Source organism: Homo sapiens, chromosome 1 (assembly GCF_000001405.40).
Source record: "Homo sapiens chromosome 1, GRCh38.p14 Primary Assembly".
NCBI lineage: Eukaryota > Metazoa > Chordata > Mammalia > Primates > Hominidae > Homo > Homo sapiens.
In genome coordinates this window covers 193070291-193091504 of record NC_000001.11, presented here as the reverse complement: position 1 = coordinate 193091504, position 21214 = coordinate 193070291, and the positions used below count along the sequence as shown (strand labels likewise).

General features: G+C 34.1%; 1 protein-coding gene across 16 annotated transcripts in view; it reads right to left on the bottom strand.

The window, feature by feature from the left end:
• The window catches only part of RO60 (Ro60, Y RNA binding protein), a 32166-nt gene that overhangs the window by 273 nt on the left and 10679 nt on the right, over positions 1–21214 (bottom strand). For 7 of the 16 annotated variants that reach the window (XM_047428924.1, XM_006711497.4, XM_011509922.3 and 4 more), the window contains 7 exons: positions 15465–15685; positions 14858–15004; positions 14455–14592; positions 10025–10141; positions 9206–9319; positions 8797–8943; positions 286–6926 (listed from right to left, as the gene is read on the bottom strand). In XM_047428924.1, coding sequence (XP_047284880.1) covers positions 6774–6926; positions 8797–8943; positions 9206–9319; positions 10025–10141; positions 14455–14592; positions 14858–15004; positions 15465–15685 — 1037 coding nt within the window. In that variant the 3' untranslated portion in view covers positions 286–6773. Of the gene's footprint in view, positions 1–285; positions 6927–8796; positions 8944–9205; positions 9320–10024; positions 10142–14454; positions 14593–14857; positions 15005–15464; positions 15686–20885; positions 20952–21214 lie in introns of those variants that run through there. The other 9 variants (XM_006711496.4, XM_006711495.5, XM_047428920.1 and 6 more) reach the window with 6 other exon arrangements.

Here is a 21214-nt window from a genome sequence, read left to right as displayed (position 1 = left end):
AGACTTGACAAAGCATCAGTTAGTTTATCAACAGACCTAGGAAGCTCCCTGTCCCCTCCTTTCAGGGTCCTTTCCTTGGAAATGAAATAAACTTAAATCAGATTTTACATAACTTTAAGCACCAGCTTGACAATTTAAAGTTTTATTTCAGTTTTATAAAATACTCCTGCTTTGAAAGGCAAAGTGAATGTAAAAATGTGAATGTAATTAAACAAGTCACTGGCCTGGAAACTTTTTATTGCAATAGTCTTTATGTTTTACTACTATATTCACTTCTTGGAATGAATTTGCTTGTAGGTTTGAAACAAAATATTTGCCTTTTGTCTTGAAAAATTCCCTTAAAAAATTAATTATTTTTGGAACTGTACAACTACATTTTCATTCGATGTTAAATATGCAACTTGGTCCTTGGATATCATGTTACAAAGTCCAACCTGTTGGATAACTTGTTATAGAAAACAATAAAAAACCTTAAACTATCATAAAATATTACTGATGTTAACAGTCATGTATGTATAACACATCACTGTATCTAGATTTTCCTGTTATTGGATGTTTAAATTACCAATGTACAATCAGGTTTTAAAATGTAATACTTAAATTTCCATTCACTATGTAAAATTAAAAGCTCTAAAAGACCCTTTGAGTTCTGTATTTCAGAAACATTAGAACACTATTAAGGCATTATTTAAACAGACCCCAAGGAAAGTAACTAGTATGCCTGAATTACAGAGCAAGTAGTATTTTAAGGCAGTCAAAAGGTTCATTTTTTCACTTTAAGGCTCTTGAATACTTAAGTTTATTCTATGTAGACATTATTCTGTGTAATTTAAATATTCATCAAATGGTCAGTTATTGAAATCAAAGCCTTTATATAAAGCAAATGGACAGTTTAGAACTAGATTATAATACCCCACTCCCCACTGGTTTTTATAAAAGATGATTCTTATATCTCATCCCTTTGGAAAATTTCATTATCAGAAGCTGGCAATAAAAGGAAAAACATATAACTGAAATACATTACAGAAGTTATGCCCAGTCACGCCATACCAGATATAGAGAGTCCATATTCAGAGTAACAGTGCAACAAAAACACTTTGAGTACTATTCATTAATTGTATATTTTAAATCTAATTTGGCTACGTATGGATTATATATAGTTTACGTTACAAATAAAGCCAAGTTTCAATATGTTTGTTGATATAATATTCCCTCAATTATATCTGGTAATGATATTTAAAACAGCAGGGTTTTAATTTCATTTACTGTCTTTATCCACATATCCATATCCACATCGAAGTGAAACCAGCAGACATATAGCTAATTTACTATTTCCTTTGTTCAAGCATATATTCTGATATCTAAAAGTGCATAAATTTAAACAACTTAAGATGAAAAGTTGGCCAGGTGCGGTGGCTCACGCCTGTAATCCTAGCACTTTGGAAGGCCGAGGCGGACAGATCACGAGGTCACGAGATCGAGGCCAGCCTGACCAACATGGTGAAACCCCGTCTCTACTAAAAATACAAAAATTAGGTGGGCGTGGTGGCGCGTGCCTGTAATCCCAGCTACTTGGGAGGCTGAGGCAGGAGAATTGCTTGAACCTGGGAAATGGAGGTTGCAGTGAGCTGAGATCGCGCCACCGCACTCCAGCCTGGTGACGGAGTGAGACTCTGTCTCAAAAAAAAAAAAAAAAAGAAAAGTTAAATATCATTTATGTTCATAAAATTAATGTGGTGCATGGCAGGGCTAAATAAAACAGAAGCAAAGGGAAAAATCTTTTTAGGATGAGAAGGTTAGCTTTTGTATATTTTTGTTGTATATATAAATTCATTCTCACTGAAAATAATCATCGTAATTTCCACAATAGAATTTTCTAAGATGTTCTCCACTAGTTTTTTCTTTCCACTATTTTCCAATATAACTTGGTATTTTCAGGGTTTAAGGAATTGTGCCATTTATTATAATTTTATTCAAACAGTATGCTTAACTACATTATTAGTTTTATACATGAAAAATACTACCTTAGAATTAAATTTTAACTTCATAATTTTCAAAAAAGCAAATTAAAAAATGCACCAATTAAAAAAAAGCCAAATGTGAGTAAGTTATCTACAAGACTTTTTATGCCACAAGCAACGTATCTCTATATATGCTCAGTGAAATATTTAGTAAACCAAAGATTTTGACAATGGTCTTTATAATTATGGAAAAAAAGCATTGAGACACCTGCTATTTTCTGAAAGAGTAATCAGTTAATTATTTTTCTAAGAGTGCTTATATAGTAAGCACTTATCTTTTCAACATAGCTAGATAACATAATTACAAAGGCTGAATAACTGATCTTAAAGGCCACAGAATTTCTGCAAACATCTAATATAAAAGATATACAATATAATTTGATTTGGGGAGGAGTGTATCAATCTACTTATTGTTCCAAGAAGCCTGCCTATTACTAAGTTGAAAAAGAAAATATGATCTTATACTTGTATGAAACAAAAAGCAATCTGCAAAAGGTTCATCCCAAACCTCTATGTGGGTGACTTTCCTGTCATTCATTTTATTATCCAGATAGAGAAGGACTAGAAAAAGAAACAACAGAAATGTAAGAAAGGAATTTTAAAAGAAAAAAAAGAGGTAGAAAAGTAATCTTCCAACAAATAAGAGATGAGGAAACAGACATCAAGGAAACACTAAATAAAATCCAAACAGTAAATACAACTAATTTCATTGATTAACCTGTCATTTTTTTTTACAAATTCTTTCTTGTGCATGTTTACACTGATGCCATATGACATTTCTCCAGAGGGGATAGTGCCTTAACAATCACCCCAAACCTGCAGTATATAAGACTAGAATTTTTCATTTTTGATTACCTACTGTAATAGCATCAGTTACCAAGAAATTTGTTATTTGTGGCTACAACAGGTCAAGTTAAAGTAAGTCCAACAAAACATTACAATGATTTAGGCTTTAGTTATTTAGGTGTAGCTTTACTATGCTTTTAAAGGTGTTTCTCACTTAATTGTGAGACCTTCAGATTTATTCAAGAATCCTACCTTATCTTTCCAAAATAATTTCACATTGTTTCTGTAAAATCTAGAAAATAAGAAAAAAAAAATCCCTGATGAAAATAGTACTTTACTATTTGTAGATTTACTGGTTACTTTAAAAGATTAAGAGAATGTTTGCTGGCTGGGTGCAGTGGCTCATGCCTCTAATTCCAGCACTTCGGGAGGCCAAGGCAGGAAGATCCCTTGAGCCCAGGAGTTTGACACCAGCCTGGGCAACACAGTGAGACGTTGTCTCTTAAAAAAAAAAAAAAAAAAAAAAAAAAAAAAAGCAGGCGTGGTAGTGCAGTGCACACCAGTGTTCCTGGCTACTTGGGAAGATCACTTGAACTTGGGAGGTCAAGGCTGCAGTGAGCTGTGATCATGCCACTCCAGCCTGGGTGACAGAGGGATAGCCTGTCTCAAAAAAAAAAGTTTGTTAACAGCATTTCCTCAGAGTATAAGCTTGTTTTTCTAGGTCTGTCCAAGAAGATCTTGGAGTATATTTTTTCTCCCTCTTCAGTAGAGAATAGTGACTTTTTGGGTAATACTTTAGCTGTGAAAATTTTTCTTCTAAATTTTTCTACTCTGAACAGGAATGTTTTAAAACACTGTTAGGCCTATTGAGTGAGCTATTTTTCTAAAACATTTTATCTTTTGAAATACGTATCTTATTAACAAGAATGTTTTTAACCAAAAAAAAAAAGAATTCTAACTTGTATTGCAAGCCCTCTTCCCAGTTTCAATTTTTATACAAATATTAAATCACTGATTCTTCTATGATCCAAGCACAGATATGTTACTTTTTAAGGATAAAAATAATCAAATCACTTAGGTTAAACTGGTTGTCTACAGTCACACAGTAAGTTAGATAAAGCAAAGGAGGTGTCAAAGGGTAACACTAAATTCCATTCACTAGCATCTTGCCTCACTAACACTCTCATAAGATAGATTACTAAATAATATAAGTATTAATAAATGGAATTTCCAAGAACTTTCAACTAATAAAGGGTGGGATTATAAGATTAGTTTTTGTTTTACTAATTACAACTATATCCTGGAACTATTTACATACTACCTAGGAAATAAAGTTTGTTTATTCTTGCAGGATTGTTTTTAAAAGCAGTATTTTCCCAAATATTAATTTAACAGTAATCCTAAAAGTAACTCAGGAAATAAAAAACTTATCACTTCAGTACATTTTATTCATAATGAGGTAAAGTTTTTGTTTTTTCTCTATATATGTAGATATATATAGCAACACAGGTTAATTGTGCTTGAGGATTCCTATGAATTACAAGATTATACATGTTCCCATTCTATTTTTCTACTCCTAAAGCAATCGTATATACATTATTTCCTAATAACTCAATAAGGTAAAAGTCTTAAATAATTTTATTTTATCCTCTACTCTTCTGAGACCATGTATTCCCATGTTGTGGGGAAATAAATTCTGGCACAGGAATGAAGAGACCAAGATTTCTAGGTTATAGTACTTCAAAATCACACTCTGTCTTGGACCTCAGCTCTCTAACAAAAATTTAAAAAATTAGCTTTTAGGTTTCTAAGGTTTCTTCCAGCTCAAATATGCCATGATTTGAAAAGTTACCTTCTGTGGTAGCTTCTCCTACTTATCCTTTCTTTCTTAAATGTTACCCTAGTCCATTTAATTAGACCTACCTAAATACTTCAGAAAGGTCATATCCATCCAATCTTGTATCCTTGATGGATTTAATATTAACTTATAGATATATTTGTCTAAAAGTATTATGGAAATAGTACACAACTGAAGGTAATGCACTTTTGTACTATATTCTATTTAACATTTCTATTAGGAATAAAATGATCATGTTATAATTTTTAAGATCTTGGGTTTACTTAAACAATTCAATAACTATTACGTAATTCTATTAGTTTCTTTAAACTTTAAATTCAATCTGAACGTAATATTTTAATGTGTCAAAAGTAGCTAATATATTCAGTTCAATGCTTGACAGGGTTAAAAACGTGAACAACATCAGAAGCAATGCATGTCTGGAGTGGGGGTGAGGGTGCTATGAGCTTTGCTGAACAAAAATATCTCAGGTAAATCACACTTAAAAACTGATACCAGTTGCCTTGAAGGAATGGGTACATATCAAAACCAGCATTAATATGTCAAATAAATTTGAAAGGAATATTTTCTTATTCCCAGAGCCCAAATTTCACATAAAACAGAAGAAAATATGTACAGAAATCCTCAGACTACTAAAGTCCCCCTTTCCCAAAAAACATAAACCCTCTAACCCCCAAGCACCTAAAAGGCTATAATTTACATTAACTACAGTTTGACTTTTCACATAACAGCGAGAAGGACCTTACAAATCCTCAGTAAATCTTCAATTAATATTTAGAGAACAACAGATACGCAAACAGGTTTTATGTGTAAGCTACCTTAGACGGCCATAATAAAATTATGAGCAAAGATAATGGCATTTCAACAGATTGCTTTAATGTTAAACCTCACAATGAAGGATACTTGCTCAATAAAATAATGCACTTTAGTGTAATGAAAAGTTTAATACATACAAATAATACTGAAAAAAATTCCTAGTGACTGGCTAGCTGGTAATATGCTACTCAAAAATTGCCTTTCAAACCTAAAGGACCTAGATTGCTTTATTATTTGTTTACACTATCAAAGAAGAATATTTTGCCACAAAATGAATAATGGACAAAGAGGCCATTGACATGTATACTTTTAAAAATATTAACTAAAAAAATAGTTAAAAGTAAAAAATTTTATTTTAAAAGTAAGGAAAAAGCTAAACTGGTTATAGTTGAGATTTTAATTGTTATACTTTGTGAATGAGGGGGAGTTAAGCGCTTGAAACATTTTATATTATTTACACTTAAGAGTATGAAAAACAGTGTGAGACTACATCTGGCTATGTTATTATAATTCAGAGGAAATCATTATCAAGTCACACCCCTTGTAGCAATAAAATATAACAAAGCAAAAAAAAAAAAGCAAACCAAATAGAATCCCTCAGCCAACACAAACTTAGTCTATTCTTAGGGGTTGCCATGATGTTTCTGATTAATGGTAACATATTCCACAAGTGCAAATAAAACATCAGAAATAAAATATCTTTTTCACTGAATAAGAAAGCTGTTATTTGTGTGATCTTAGTAAAACTCTGAAAGGAATTTGTAAAACTCATTCATAATTTAATCAAATGCCTTAGTTTTTTTTTTTACCCCCTTGGTATAAAAGTTTACAGATGAGTTTCATATTTCATCACAGTTATATGGTCTAGTGCATTTCAGAGTATTTGGACATTATCAAAGCTGTCCTTTCCCAATGAAAACATTTAAGAAAACGTTAAGCACTTCTCAAGTAACATGATGTGGAATTACACTTTTTGCTCTTACCTCTTTTAGGTACACACGTATTATTCAACAAAGCAAAACTATTTTACAGTGTCTGTTAACAAAAAGTTCTCTATTAGATAGAGGAAACTACAGTATCCTGAAGCTATTTCCCCAAGAGCTAGTTTAGTAGATAGACCTTTGGGCCCATCTTATTTTTCCTTCTTTTTTTTTTTTCAGTAAGGTAACTTTCCATTATGCACATACTATACCATCATCATTCATTGGGTGGAGATTAGCTGGGAAGTAGCTGTATATTTTTAGTGAGATCACTGATGGCAATGGATCTCTGGATCGTGCTGCTGCTTATGGTTAAATCATATCTAATGTGAAATTTCGAATTACATCCAGAGCTCCAGTATCAAAGCCGCACATATCCAACATGCCTCTATCATCTGGGTCTGCAATGGTGAAACCATTTGATGTCATTCCACAAACAATCAATTTAGCTGGAATATCCATTTTCTGTAGAAAAAGACCAAAATACATATTAAAAACATAAATGTAAGGAAATGCAAAATACCTCCAAAATTAAAACACTTTAACATTTCTCTACCAGAGCTTTTTAAATACAAAGTCATTTTTTTGCGGGGGTCAATCTTTTAAGGCTAGAATATGGGAGTTTTAGAAGAAGGGACAATAAAATTGTATAAGAATCTGCCTGAAATTTCTACTTCTCTCTTCAATTACTTTACTTGTTCTATGGGCTGCAGTGTACATTATTGAGCAGCCTAGGCACTTTGTACTTATGAAACCTGTCAGGTTATTAAGGGTGCCAGATATTTTTATCAACATATCAAATGCTGGGGCAGTGTGTATGAGTATATATAAGGACATATCTCTGGGATGATCAACTTTTGGCTGATGACTTTGATATGTGCGATATACACATGTTCCACGTAAGAACTTGTCCTCTACAGCTAAATGTAAGATTAAAATAATTGAATTTTTGAGAAAAACCAACAATCACTGAATGTATACACATGAGAAACTACAATGCACTGTTTAAATAATACATCTACCGTAACTGTTAAAACAACTCTAAGAGGTAAGTAACTTACTATGATGTAGATCAGTTAAATAATTTGCTCAGGTCCACACAGAGTAAGAGAAAGACTCGGGACTCACAACCAAACAGTCTTTACTCTACATTCTATCCTGGTTGGGCAGTGCCTCATGGCTGTAATCTCAGTGCTTTGGGAGGCCAGAATTTCAAGTTACAGTAAGCTATGATAGCACCATTGCACTCCAGTGATGGAGACCCCATTTCTTAAAAAAACAAAACAAAACAAAACAAAACTATTCCCTTACCTGCAGCTTTCAAACTTAAGCCTGCATCAGAAATCCTCTGGAGGGCTTGTTAAAACACAGTCCCAACGTCAGAGTTTCTGATTCAGCAGGTCTCTGACGGGCCTCAGGAATTTGCATTTCTAATACGGTCGCAGGTGAGGCTAAGACTGCTGGTAGGGAAACCACACTTTGAGAACCACTACTCTTCATCAACAAGTTCTATTTCTACTTCTAGTCACACTAGCCATATTTTAAGTGCTCAAAAGTCCCATGTGATTAGTGGCAACCCACATTGGAGAGTGAAGATTTATGTCATTTCAGAAAGCTCAACTGGAGGATACTGATTAGAACACAGATATGTCCATAAAACATAGAGCATAGATTATAGCTTTAATTTTATGTAATCCTTTTGCAAAACTCACTAATACTTTCAATTTTTCAAGGAGCACACTGAATTATTAAAAAAAACTTACAGCTAAGGTAAAACAAATATTCTGATTATTACCAAAAATACTGTTTGCAAAGGATATTCTTAGTAATGTTTAGCAATGGAAACTGGTTAAAATAAATTTTATGTGTGTAATCAATACTTTTTCTTATTTTAAGTACTGCTGAGTCTATAACGGACACTGGCTCCTATATAAGATACAGAACTACTTGTAGTAACATTTTTTGAAACACATAAGTGAATAAGAATCAAGAATGGCCAGGTGTGGTGGCTGTAATCCCAGCACGTTGGGAAGCCAAGGCTGGAGAATCGCTTGAGCCTAGGAGTTTGAGACCAGCCTGGGCAACATGGTGAAACCCCATTCCTACAAAAAATTAGGTGGGCATGGTGGCACGCTCCTGTAGTTCCAGCTACTTGGGAGGCTGTGGTGGGAGAATCACTTAAGCCTGGGAGGTTGAGGTTGCAGTGAGCTATGACTGAGCCACTGCACTCCAGCCAGGGCAACAGAATGAGGTCCTGTCTCCAAAAAAAAAAAAAAAAAATCAAGTATTAAAATAATATTATTTGGGTGAGGAACCGTATTAGAATTTGTTTTACCTTTCGATACTCCCTCAGAGCAATAGCAGGATGGACACCTCCAGCAAAGGTCTCATTATCAGTGAATACAATGAAGACATCAGCAGGTGTGTTTGTCTTCTGAGCCCAGATCATTGGAAGAGAGCAATCAGTTCCACCTGCTGGGATCTAATTCGGAACAAAAGCATGAATAAATAAGTAAATAAATCCTTAAAAATACTAGTTTTTACAGTATCATTTTGTTTAGCACCAATATATACAGCCTTCCCAAAGCCTGCATATATATTTTCGGTTTTGTACTTGTCATGCAAAAATTAAGACAAAAAAAATTTTGTTCTCACAGATTAATACCATACATGACATCAATATAAAATCATTCTACACGTTATGTAAACTTAACTAAGTAAACTTAAAAAACACAGTTTCTTACCTGACTCATAGCCATTAAAACCTGTTGTAAGGTCATATCTGTAGTCACTGGACATGGTACCATTTCATCGGAAAAAGCAACTACATAAGAATCTTTTTCTGTTCGTGTGACAACCTGAAAAATTCAATGGCAGTAATTTTCAGCAAATTTGGGGGGAAATACAATATTTTGAATTTTATCCAACTTCATGTTTAAAAGAAACACTGATGTTTATTTCTTAACTTTTTATTAGTGTGTTTTAGAACTATACATTAACAGTAGTACAGCTTTCAAAGTACTTTCACAAAAAAACTGGCTATCATGACTATCCTTTGAAGCAAATACAGTAAATATTCTTCTCATTTCATTAGATAAGAAATAAAGCCCCAGTAAAGAAGCTAAAAAGTTTGCCTACTATTCATCTGTTTGTTATTCACTGACAGGATAGAACTAAAGTCTCTAGACACTCCTATTAGTTCCCAGATCTTTTAAGCTTCAAATCGTTAAATAATTTAAGCATTATTTTTAAAATAAATTTTTAAAAAATTTGTCTTTTTTTCATTTTATCTAAGCATTATCTACTTCCTAAAAAATCCATTAATATTTAATCTTTTGTTGTAAAAATTAAAATTTCTACTCTGCTTGTTCTTTAGACATACTTTTTCAACACACTTAACACTCTGGCTTTACACAATTATCTTTAAATATAAAATTAAAAATGTGACAAGCTGAAATGACAGAAAAAAGTGAAAACATAATTCTTAATCATTATTAATCTTATAGTTTTGCTCTACAGTAAACATGTTTTTAGAATGGCAAAATTGTCTTAGGTGTTCTCACCATGCACATTGCTGCAGCAACTGTACTAGCGTTGAGTATACTACCCAAAACTCTTTGGTTCATAGAAGCACTGACATCAACAGCTAGTAAGAAACGTTTTCCAGTTGGTTCAACTGTCTACAGAGAAAACAAAACAATCATTAAAAGCATAACAGAAATTATAAGTAGACTAAATTTCTAAATCATATTTACTTATCTTACATTAAAAAGACTGATAAAAGGCCTTCAGATTTTTGATATACCAATTGACAACTATTTAAAAATGCTCATCTGGCATAGCAGCTATGACTGAAAATTAAAAAAAAATAATAAAAATACTTAGCTTTTACAGGTAAAACAAAGGAAATAACCTATTCAATAATTTTAGTTAAATAAGTTACCATCCTATTTTTAAAATCTTTCCTCATTGAAGTAAAATGAGAATTTTTAGTAGGAAATTTTTATTGTGGTAAAATATAACATAAATTTGACCTTTTTAACCATTTTTAGATGTACAATTTGGTGGCATTAAGTACATTCGCAATGTTGTGTAACTATCACCTCTATCTATTTCAAGAACTTTTTCATCATCCCAAATAGAACTTGTACCAATTAGGTAGTAACTCCCCATTGCCATGTCTCTCCCTAGCCCCTGGCAACTTCTATTCCACTTTCTGTCTCTATAAATTTTCCTGCTGTAGATATCTCATATAATGGAATCATACAATACTTGTCCTTGTTTGTCTGGCTTATTTTACTTAGTATAATCTTTTCGAGATTTATCCATGGTGTAGCATGTATCAAATTTAATTCTTTTCTAAGGCTGAATAATATTCCATTATATATACCACATTTTGCTTATCCATCTGCTGATGAACATTTGGGTTGTTCATCAAAATCAGTTGTATTTCTATATACTAGCAATGAACAATTCAAAAAAGAAAACTAAGAAAACATTTGTTCACAATAGCATCAAAAATAAAAGACAAGAATACATTTAACTCTTGGCTATTGTGAATAATGCTACTGTGACTACTGGTATACAGATATCTGTTTGAATACCTGTTTACAATTCTTTTGGGTATATACCTAGAAATGGAATTGCTGGATGGTATGGTAATTCTACGTTTAACCTTTTGAGAACTGCCAAATTGTTTTCCACAGGGGCTACACCATTTTACCATTTTACATTCCCACCAGAAATACACTAGGGTTCCAATTTCTCCACATCTTCCCCAACTCTTGTTTTCTGCTTTTTTGATATTAGCTATCCAACTAGATGTGAAGTAGTTATTACACTGTCATCTTGATTTGCATTTCTCTGATTATTAATGATGTTGAGTATTTTTCATGTTTTTTTTTTGTTTTTTGAGACAGAGTTTCACTCTTGTTGCCCAGGGTGGAGTGCAACGGCACAATCTCAGCTCACTGTAACCTCCACCTCCTGGGTTCAAGAGATTCTCCTGCCTCAACCTCATGAGTAGCTGGGATTACAGGCGCCCGCCACCACACTCAGCTAATTTTTTTTTTTTTTTTTTTTAGAGACGGGGTATCACCATGTTGGCCAGGCTGGTCTCGAACTCCTGACCTCAGGTGATCAACCCTTATCGGCCTCCCAAAGTGCTGGGATTACAGGCGTGAGCCACTGCACCTGGCCCTTTTCATGTTTTTATTACTCATTTGTATATCATTAGAAAAATGTCTATTCAAGTACTTTGCCCATTTTTAAATTGGGTTTGTACTTTTGCTGAATTTGTAGTTTTCAGTATTCTGGATATTAGGCCCTTATCGGACATATGGTCTGCAAATATTTTCTCCCATTGTGTAGATTATCTTTTAACTGTCTTGATAGTATCCTTTAATATACAAAATGTTTAAGTTTGATGAAGTTCAATTTATTTTTTCTTTTGCTGCCTGTGTTTTTGGTGTTTTCTAGTTTTAGCTCTTAAATTTAGTCACTGATCCACTTTGAACTAATTCTTGTATTTGGTGTAAGATAATGGTCCAACTTCATTCTTTTGTATGTGGATATGCAGTTTTCCCAATACCATTTGTTGAAGATTGTCCTTTCCCCAGTGAATCATCTTGGCACCCTTATCAAAAGTCAACAGACATCCAGATGCAGTGGTTCACGCCTGTAATCCCAGCACTTTGGGAGGCCAAGGTGGGCGGATCACTTGAGGCAAGGAGTTCAAGAACAGACTGGCCAACACAGTGAAACCCTGTCCCTACTAAAAATGGAATAAATTAGTTGAGTGTGGTGGCGCATGCCTGTAATCCCAGCTACTTGGGAGGCTGAGGCATAAGAATCACTTGAACCCAGGAGGCGGAGGTTGCAGTGAGCTGATATTGCACCACTGCACTCCAAACTGGGTGGCACAGTGAGACTCTGTCTCAAAAAAAAAAAAAAAAAAAAAAAAGTCAACTGAACATATATGCAAGGTTTTATCTCTGGACTTTCTATTTCATTGGTCTATATGTTTATTCTTTTGCCAGTGCCACACTGTTTTGATTACTGCAGCTTTGTAGTAACTGAAAGAGTTACTGAAGAGTCCTCCAGGTTTGTTCTTTTTTTAAAGATTGTTTTGGCTATTTGGGGTCACTTGAAATTTCTTAGGAATTTTAGAATGGGTTTTTCTATCTCTGTAAAACATGCCATTGGGATTTTGAAAGGGACTGCATTCAATCTGTAGATTGGCTGCTTTGGATAGTATTGTCATCTTAACAATATTAAGTCTTCCAATCTGTAAACACAGATGTGTTTCTATTTATTCATGACTTAATTTCTTTTAGCAATGTTTTGTAGTTCTCAGTGTATAAGTCTTACAGCTTCTTAAATTTACTCCTGTCTTTTATTTTTTGATGATCTTGTAAATGGAAATGTTTTCTTAATTTCTTTTTTTGGATTGTTCATTGCTAGTATATAGAAATACAACTGATTTTTATGTGTTGGTTTTATACCCTGTAACTTTGCTGAATTCATTTGTTAACTTTAGGGTTTTCTAAATACAAGATCATGGCATCTGAGGATAATTTTACTTCTTTCTTTCCAATTGCAATGTCTTTCATTATTTCATTTTCTTGCCTTATTACTACAACTTCCAATACTATGTGGAATTAAAGTGGAAAAACTGGGCATCCTTGTCTTTTTCTTGATTTTAGGGGAAAATCTTACAATCACTCACCATTATGACATTAGCTATGGGGTTTAAACATCTTTGTTTTTTAAATCTCTGGACTTTATCATGTTGAGGAAGTTCATTTCAGGTTTAGTGGTTTTATTTTTCATCATGAAGGAATGTTGAAATTTGTGAAATGCTTTTTCTGCATCAGTAAGATGATTATGTGGTTTTTGTCACTTCATTCTACTAATGTGATGTATTACATTGATTGGTTGTCATATGTTGTACTATCTTTGTATGCCAGGGATGAATATCACTTGGTTATAGTATGTAATCCTTCTATTTTGCTGCTGACTTTGGTTGCTAGTATTTTGTTATATAGCAAGATGTTTTAGCTTGTGTCTTTGATGTGAGATTTCCATTACTAAAAAACTCATTTTTTATCAAGACTGATGAGATCTATCTACCAATTAATGGGGAAAACAGAGGACCAAGTCAAAGGACCTGACAGGAATGCAAATTTCTAAAGTTAGTGATATGGGTTGGATTTGTGTCTCCACACCAATCTTATGTTCACTGTAATCCCCAATGTTGAAGGTGGGACCTTCTGGGAGGTGACTGGATCATGGGGGCAGTTTCTAATAGTTTAGCACCATATTCCCCCTTCTGCCAAGATTGTTGATATGGTTTGGCTGTGTCCCCACCCAAATCTCATCTTGAATTGTAGTTCCCATAATCCCCACATGTTCAAGGGTGGGACCAGGTAGAGATAATTGAATCATGGGGGCGATTTCCCCTATACTGTTCTTGTGATAGTGAATGAGTTCTCACGAGATCTGATGGTTTTATAAGGAGCTTCCCCCCTTATGCTCATCACTTCTTCCTGCTGCCATGTGAAGAAGGACGTGTTTGCTTCCCCTTCTGCCATGATTGTAAGTTTCCCAAGGCATCCTCAGAAGCAGGGCAGTAGCCACTGTGCTTCCTCTACAACCTGTGGAACCATGAGCCGATTAAACCTCTCTTCTTTATAAACTACTCAGTCTCAGGTATTTCTTTATAGCACTGTGAGAACAAACTAATACAGTTAGTAACTTAAAAGTTACCAAAATGATCTTAGAATAATTAGTTGCTACCCAAAGGTAAAGAGAAATACTTTACTCTTAAACTTACACGATATTAATTATATACTCACCACATATGAACTAAAGAAAAACAAATGAATACCTAATTAAAAAATGATTAAACTATTAATACTACCTTTAAAATGTATTATTACAAAAGATATTAAGTCTTCAGTCATTTGTTTTAAAACAAAAATCATATCACTACCTTAAATGTTTTATAAAAAGCAGCATCCAATGCTTTCAAAATTTCTTCATCAGGGCGCCACTTCAGTTTCCCTCTGAGACCATGACCTGTCTTGTAAGTTTCTAATGCGATCAAAATATGAAATGGATGTATACGAGCCTAGAAACAAAGTATAAGGAAAATTTTAGCAAAAAACAGTGATTATGTATACTCCTTAGATTTTTGTGTTATTGTAGCTAATAACTACATTTCATATAGAAAAGAGAAAAATGAAAATGTATTAAACTTACACTTAAGAGCCATAATGCAATTTGGTATAATGAACATCTCGAAATACCTTAAAAATGCACTGACGGCATTTCTAAAATTTAGGAGCCACTTTCTCAGTTAGTAGTAGCTAATAAAGAACAATGATAATGCTTACCTTTTTTAATAGTTTTTCATTACACAGTTTTTCACATACTAAAGATACTTCTGAATTTCCTGGTTCAAGTACTGAATTAGCAGTCATCTTTCCTAGATTCCTTAGTAATGCAGTAAGCGGCATTTCTTGTAACAAAGCCTTCCATACCTATTGCAATAACATAGGCAGAAATACCAGGAATTAAGGGAAAATAAATCAGTATAACATACCTATATAAAAAAATATTCATAATACAGTCTCTGAGGCTTTCATTTGGGGTTCAAAGTACTTTCAGAATGAAAAATGTCTAAGTAAAAGGCTTATCAAATAAGCTAACTTGTTTTTTACTAGAAAAAGGATGTGAAGTATATTTTATGAAGGAAATGCATAGATGATTTTTTTTTTAATTAGCAAGGCAGTAGATTTTCTGGAGTGAAACTAACACAAATGCCACCTACATCATGTTGGACATCATGGTAGGTGTTTTAAACAGACATCAATTTCAAGATATATTTTAAATAATTTCTTTTTAAAAGTATAAATATATAGCTACCCCAAGTTTATCCTTTTAGCACCTACACTAAATTACTCATGTTTAATCACATGCTGTAACATATAATTCACTCACCTCTTTAGACTTTAAGTGATTTGTTAAAAGATGTTCTCTAACTAATCTATGTTCTTCTATTAGATGAATGACTTCTAGCTCATCTCTTGTGCGCTTCACTTTCTCTACAGCCTCCAGATACTTTAATAATTTTTCAGTCTCCACAGAGAGTGCTTTTTCTTTATACAATTCATGAACTTCTTTCCAGCCCTTTGTAATATATTTGGTCACAATTGCAAGTCCTTTAACAAGATAAAGAATTGAAAAAGCATGCAGGATTACCAAGTAAAAAAACAGAACATGTTTCCTCAAAATGCATTATATGATCAACATAACTGGATACACAAGAGTTAATGCCCTTACACTGGGATGCTGCTTTCCATGATATAACAATTAAGCAAATGGGGTGAATTAATTTTCTTATTCCATCATTACTATTTAAATATGAGACTTTAGAGTAAAAAAACCTGTATCCTGAGTATTTTGTTACAGAGGCTTTTCTTTCTTTTCTTTTTAAAGACACCAGCATTAGAAAGTTTCAGGTCCATAATCTCAGAACAACTCACGAGAGTACAGATCTATCTCAATTAATATTGTATTGTATTGTAATGTATTATATTATATTAATTATATTCACTTGTCTCTTTTTGCTGTTGAATAAAATATATATATTTACAAAAACAGCAGAAATAAGTAGAAGTGGACAGGGTAGCTTCTTTTACACTATGTTTTAATAGCTGAGAAGTATTACTGCTCAAAAAAAAAAAAAAAAGGAAACAGTAACTTGTTGATTTCCTCCACAATTTCTTCCAATAGAAGAAAGAGAAAAGAGCCTTGGATTGGGGGTGAGAAAGTCTGGGTTCTAGCCTATACTCTGCCAATAAATGGTGGTCTTTCTAGGTCTTAGTTTCACCACTTCTGTAAAACAGCAGGGATTGGATTACAACATTAAAATGTCTATGAGGGACAAGCAAATAAAATAAATAAAACCACCACGGTGAGGCCAGGCACCATGGCTCATGCCTGTAATGCTAGCACTTTGGGAGGCCAAGGAGTGTGGATCACCTGAGGTCAGGGGTTTGAGAACAGTGTGCCCAACGTGGCAAAACTCCATCTCGAAAGCTGAAACTGGATCCCTTCCTTACACCTTATACAAAAATTAATTCAAGATGGATTAAAGACTTACATGTTACACCTAAAACCATAAAAGCCCTAGAAGAAAACCTAGGCAATACCATTCAGGACATAGGCGTGGGCAAGGACTTCATGTCTAAAACACCAAAAGCAATGGCAACAAAAGCCAAAATTCACAAATGGTATCTAATTCAACTAAAGAGCTTCTGCACAGCAAAAGAAACTACCATCAGAGTGAACAGGCAACCTACAGAATGGGAGAAAATTTTTGCAATCTACTCATCTGACAAGGGGCTAATATCCAGAATCTACAAAGAACTCAAACAAATTTACAAGAAAAAAACAACCCCATCAAAAAGTGGGCGAAGGATATGAACAGACACTTCTCAAAAGAAGACATTTATGCAGCCAAAAGACATATGAAAACATGCTCATCATCACTGGCCATCAGAGAAATGCAATTCAAAACCACAATGAGATACCATCTCACATCAGTTAGAATGACGATCATTAAAAAGTCAGGAAACAACAGGTGCTGGAGAGGATGTGGAGAAACAGGAACACTTTTACACTGTTGGTGGGACTGTAAACTAGTTCAACCATTGTGGAAGTCAGTGTGGCGATTCCTCAGGGATCTAGAACTAGAAATACCATTTGACCAAGCAATCCCATTACGGGGTATATACCCAAAGGATTATAAATCATGCTGCTATAAAGACACATGCACACGTATGTTTATTGCGGCACTATTCACAATAGCAAAGACTTGGAACCAGCCCAAATGTCCAGCAATGATAGACTGGATTAAGAAAATGTGGCACATATACACCATGGAATACTATGCAGCCATAAAAAGGATGAGTTCATGTCCTTTGTAGGGACATGGATGAAGCTGGAAACCATCATTCTCAGCAAACTATCGCAAGGACAAAAAACGAAACACTGCATGTTCTCACTCATAGGTGGGAATTGAACAATGAGAACACATGGACACAGGAAGGGGAACATCACACACCAGGGCCTGTTGTGGGGTGGGGGGAGGGGGGAGGGATAGCATTAGGAGATATACGTAACGTTAAATGACGAGTTAATGGGTGCAGCACACCAACATGGCACATGTATACATATGTAACAAACCTGCACGTTGTGCACATGTACCCTAGAACTTAAAGTATAATAAAAAAAAATTAGCTGGGCGTGGTGGCACATGCCTGTAATACCAGCTACTCAGGAGGCTGAGGCAGGAGAATCACTTGAACTGAGGAGGCAGAGGTTACAGTGGGCCAAGATCGTGCCACTGTGCTCCAGCCTGGCCAACAGAGTGAGACTCTGTCTCAAACAAACAAACAAACAAACAAACACAGTGATGTAATAGAGAGTTGTTAGGGTGTGGTGACTGAACAGAGTGTGCCCTGACAAGTGGTGTAGACACGTATTGACTTAGTGCTGCCAAAAGAAAAAAAACTTACTTTCAAGAGAAGCCAGAATATGGGTTTTTATGTCGATTTTTAAAGATAATGACAAAGAATTCATTTTTACCCAAAAATATTGTATAGGCCACATGAAACACATCTCTATGCCAACTGAGCCTATTATGTTATTTTTGAATGCTAAATAACTTGATCAAAAGTTAACACTAACATGCAGGAACTTCTCAAGTATTGTGACTCTTGCTATCTTCCAGATTTTGGTGCAAAATCATCTTAAATGAGTAAATGTTTCCTGTGAGTATATCTTCTATTTTGTTTTTCCAGTGAAAATAAAAATTCCTTAAAGCAGTTTTATCCTACCCGGTTCTGTAATTGCGCTGGCCATGCAGTGGGTGCACAATAAAAATACCATACCTGATGACTTGAATCACATTTTGACTTGTTTTGTCTGTTATAAATACACATTACACTTAAAGGCATTAAAATACTATTAATTCTGTAGCTTAGAGTTTTTCCAAATTTTTAAGCTTTGAAATGCTAGGGATTCTCTGTCCAATGTGATATTGCTATTACTAACATGGTTTCAACTGTGAGTTCTGCCCTCAACAATTTCAAATTAAAGAATCCTATGTGTGGAAGTAAGTTTAGGAAACATCTACTAATTCCTCATTATATAGACCAAAAAGACAAAGCACAGAATAATTATTTTCACAAGTTCAGAAACTAATTGGTCCAGTTAGAACTAGTAATGGGCGGTCTTTCTCTTAGTCTAGTACTTGCTCCACACTTCCAAGACACATCTCAACAAACCAATAAATAAAGCTGGATGCCTAAGTCCTTCTTATGTTGGATCAAATATTTGGATAAAAAATTTAAATGTAAAAAATAATGTTTCTTAACCAAGAAAATGTTAGGAAAAAACCACAGATAAATATTTTAGGTTGGAAAAGGCCCTTCTAATCCTAACACAAAACATAAACCTATGAAGACATGGATAAATTTGACTACATTAAAATTCAAAACTTTAGTGTGCCAGAAATGTCCCCCAACCAAAAAAAAAAAAGACAAAGAAAAAAAAGAAGAAAAAATGCATGCACTGTATATAAATAATACATTATCAACTCCTCTAATATGAACCCCAAGTTCTTAGAACAGTTTCTATCCATAGTAGGTGCTCAATAAATATTTGCTGAGGGCCAGGCACAGTGGTTCATGCCTATAATCCCAGCACTTTGGGAGGCCAAGGCAGGCGGATCACCTGAGGTCAGGAGTTCGAGACCAGCATTACCAACATGGTGAAACCCTGCCTCTACTAAAAATACAAAAATTAGCAGAGCATGGCGGCAGGAGCTTGTAATCCCAGCTACTTGGGAGGCTGAGGCAGGAGAATTGCTTGAATCTGGGAGGTGGAGGTTACAGTGAGCCTAGATTGTGCCATTGCACTCCAGCCTGGGTGACAAAAGTGAAACTCCATCTCAAAATAAATACAACAAATAAATAAATAAATATTTGTTGAATGAATAGTGATCACAATCAATAGTTAAAAAGACAGTAACTAAGTGGACAAAAGGGCTATGATGTAATTGTATAATTATACATATATACACACACATACATATATATTATATATACATACATATAATTATATGCATACATATATAGGTATATATATGTATATAGGTATATATATATTACATACTATACTATATACTAACATTATATATTATATATACTATATTATACAATATATAGGTGTATATATATATATAATCAGCACATGCAAAGATGAGCTTCTGCCCAAAAATGTAAATTCAAAGAATCTTTCATGATTCTACTGAAAGAGATTAAAAAATAATGACAACAGTTAAGTGTTCAAATGTGGGTACACTGATCCCTTTCACATACTGTTTGTGGATTTAACCATTATGAAAGTAGGTACTCTATGCAAGTGTTTTCATTGTAGTATTTTTGTAACAGTATAAAAAAACCAGAAACAACTCTTGTCAATAAGAGACTAGCTAATAAATTACAGTCATACAATGGTATATATGCAACTATTTCTACTGACCTGAAAGAAACAGCAATAGCAATAGCAATAATATACTTTTTACTGAAACATAGAAGGCATGTAACAAAATTTAGTGAAACACAGTAATATATGTTTAGGAAAAATCTGGAGTAAATTACAACATCTGATATACAGCAAGGGCCCTCAACTCCCAGGCTATACACGGATACCAGTCCGTGGCCTGTTAGGAACTGGGCTGCACAGCAGGAGGTGAGCAGCAGGCAAGTGAGCTCCACTTCCTGTCAGATCAGTAGCTGGGCATTAGTCTCATAAGAGCACGAATCCTACTATGATCTGAGCATGTGAGGGATCTAGGTTGCGCTCTCCTTATGAGAATCTGATGCCTGATGATCTGAGGTGGAACAGTTTCATTCTGAAACCACCCTGCCCTCCCCACTGCCTGCGGAAAAACTGTCTTCCACAAAACCAGTCCCTGGTATCAGAAGGGTTGTGGACTGCTGATATGCAGTTATTTCTTTTGAAGAGTAGGACTGCATCATATTTTTCTGTATTATTCAACTATTTTAAAACATGTAATCTAATAAAATCAAAATAAAATGTTTATACATATAAATATTTGCAATTTATTATTTACATTTCATTTGAAAAACCCCAGTTATAGTTAAAAAATAAGTCAGGAATTACTGAAGAGATTCTGTATATAAAAATATGTGTGGAAGGGAGAAATAGAGAACCAAAGTGTACTTCTACTACATGTTAGGTGCTGGGACATTTAGTCTCAATAATTGTAAGCTTATTCTCCTTACCCTCCTTTTAATAGATGAAGGTCAGAAACTCAGCTTAACTTACTTGGCTTAAGTCCACAGAACTGAAATGTGAACCCACCCTTCTGAGTGGCTGTCTTTTCAAGTTTCACTTCCGGTGCAAAAAAAAAAAAAAAGTCAAATTTTGAACATGTTGATTTTTGTGGAACTTCACACTTCAAATTACTCCTGCCCAAGAGTTTTTCTTATTTCTTTTCTTAAAAGGACTAGTAATTATTACGGAGCCAACTAACTTTTCAAAAGTCTCTTTCCATAGATACAGAAAAACTGCCCCAAGTTATTATGTCCCCTGACTAACTGCCTGAAGACAATTAACTTCCTGAATTGTTAAGTTCAGCACTATATCTGGTATAT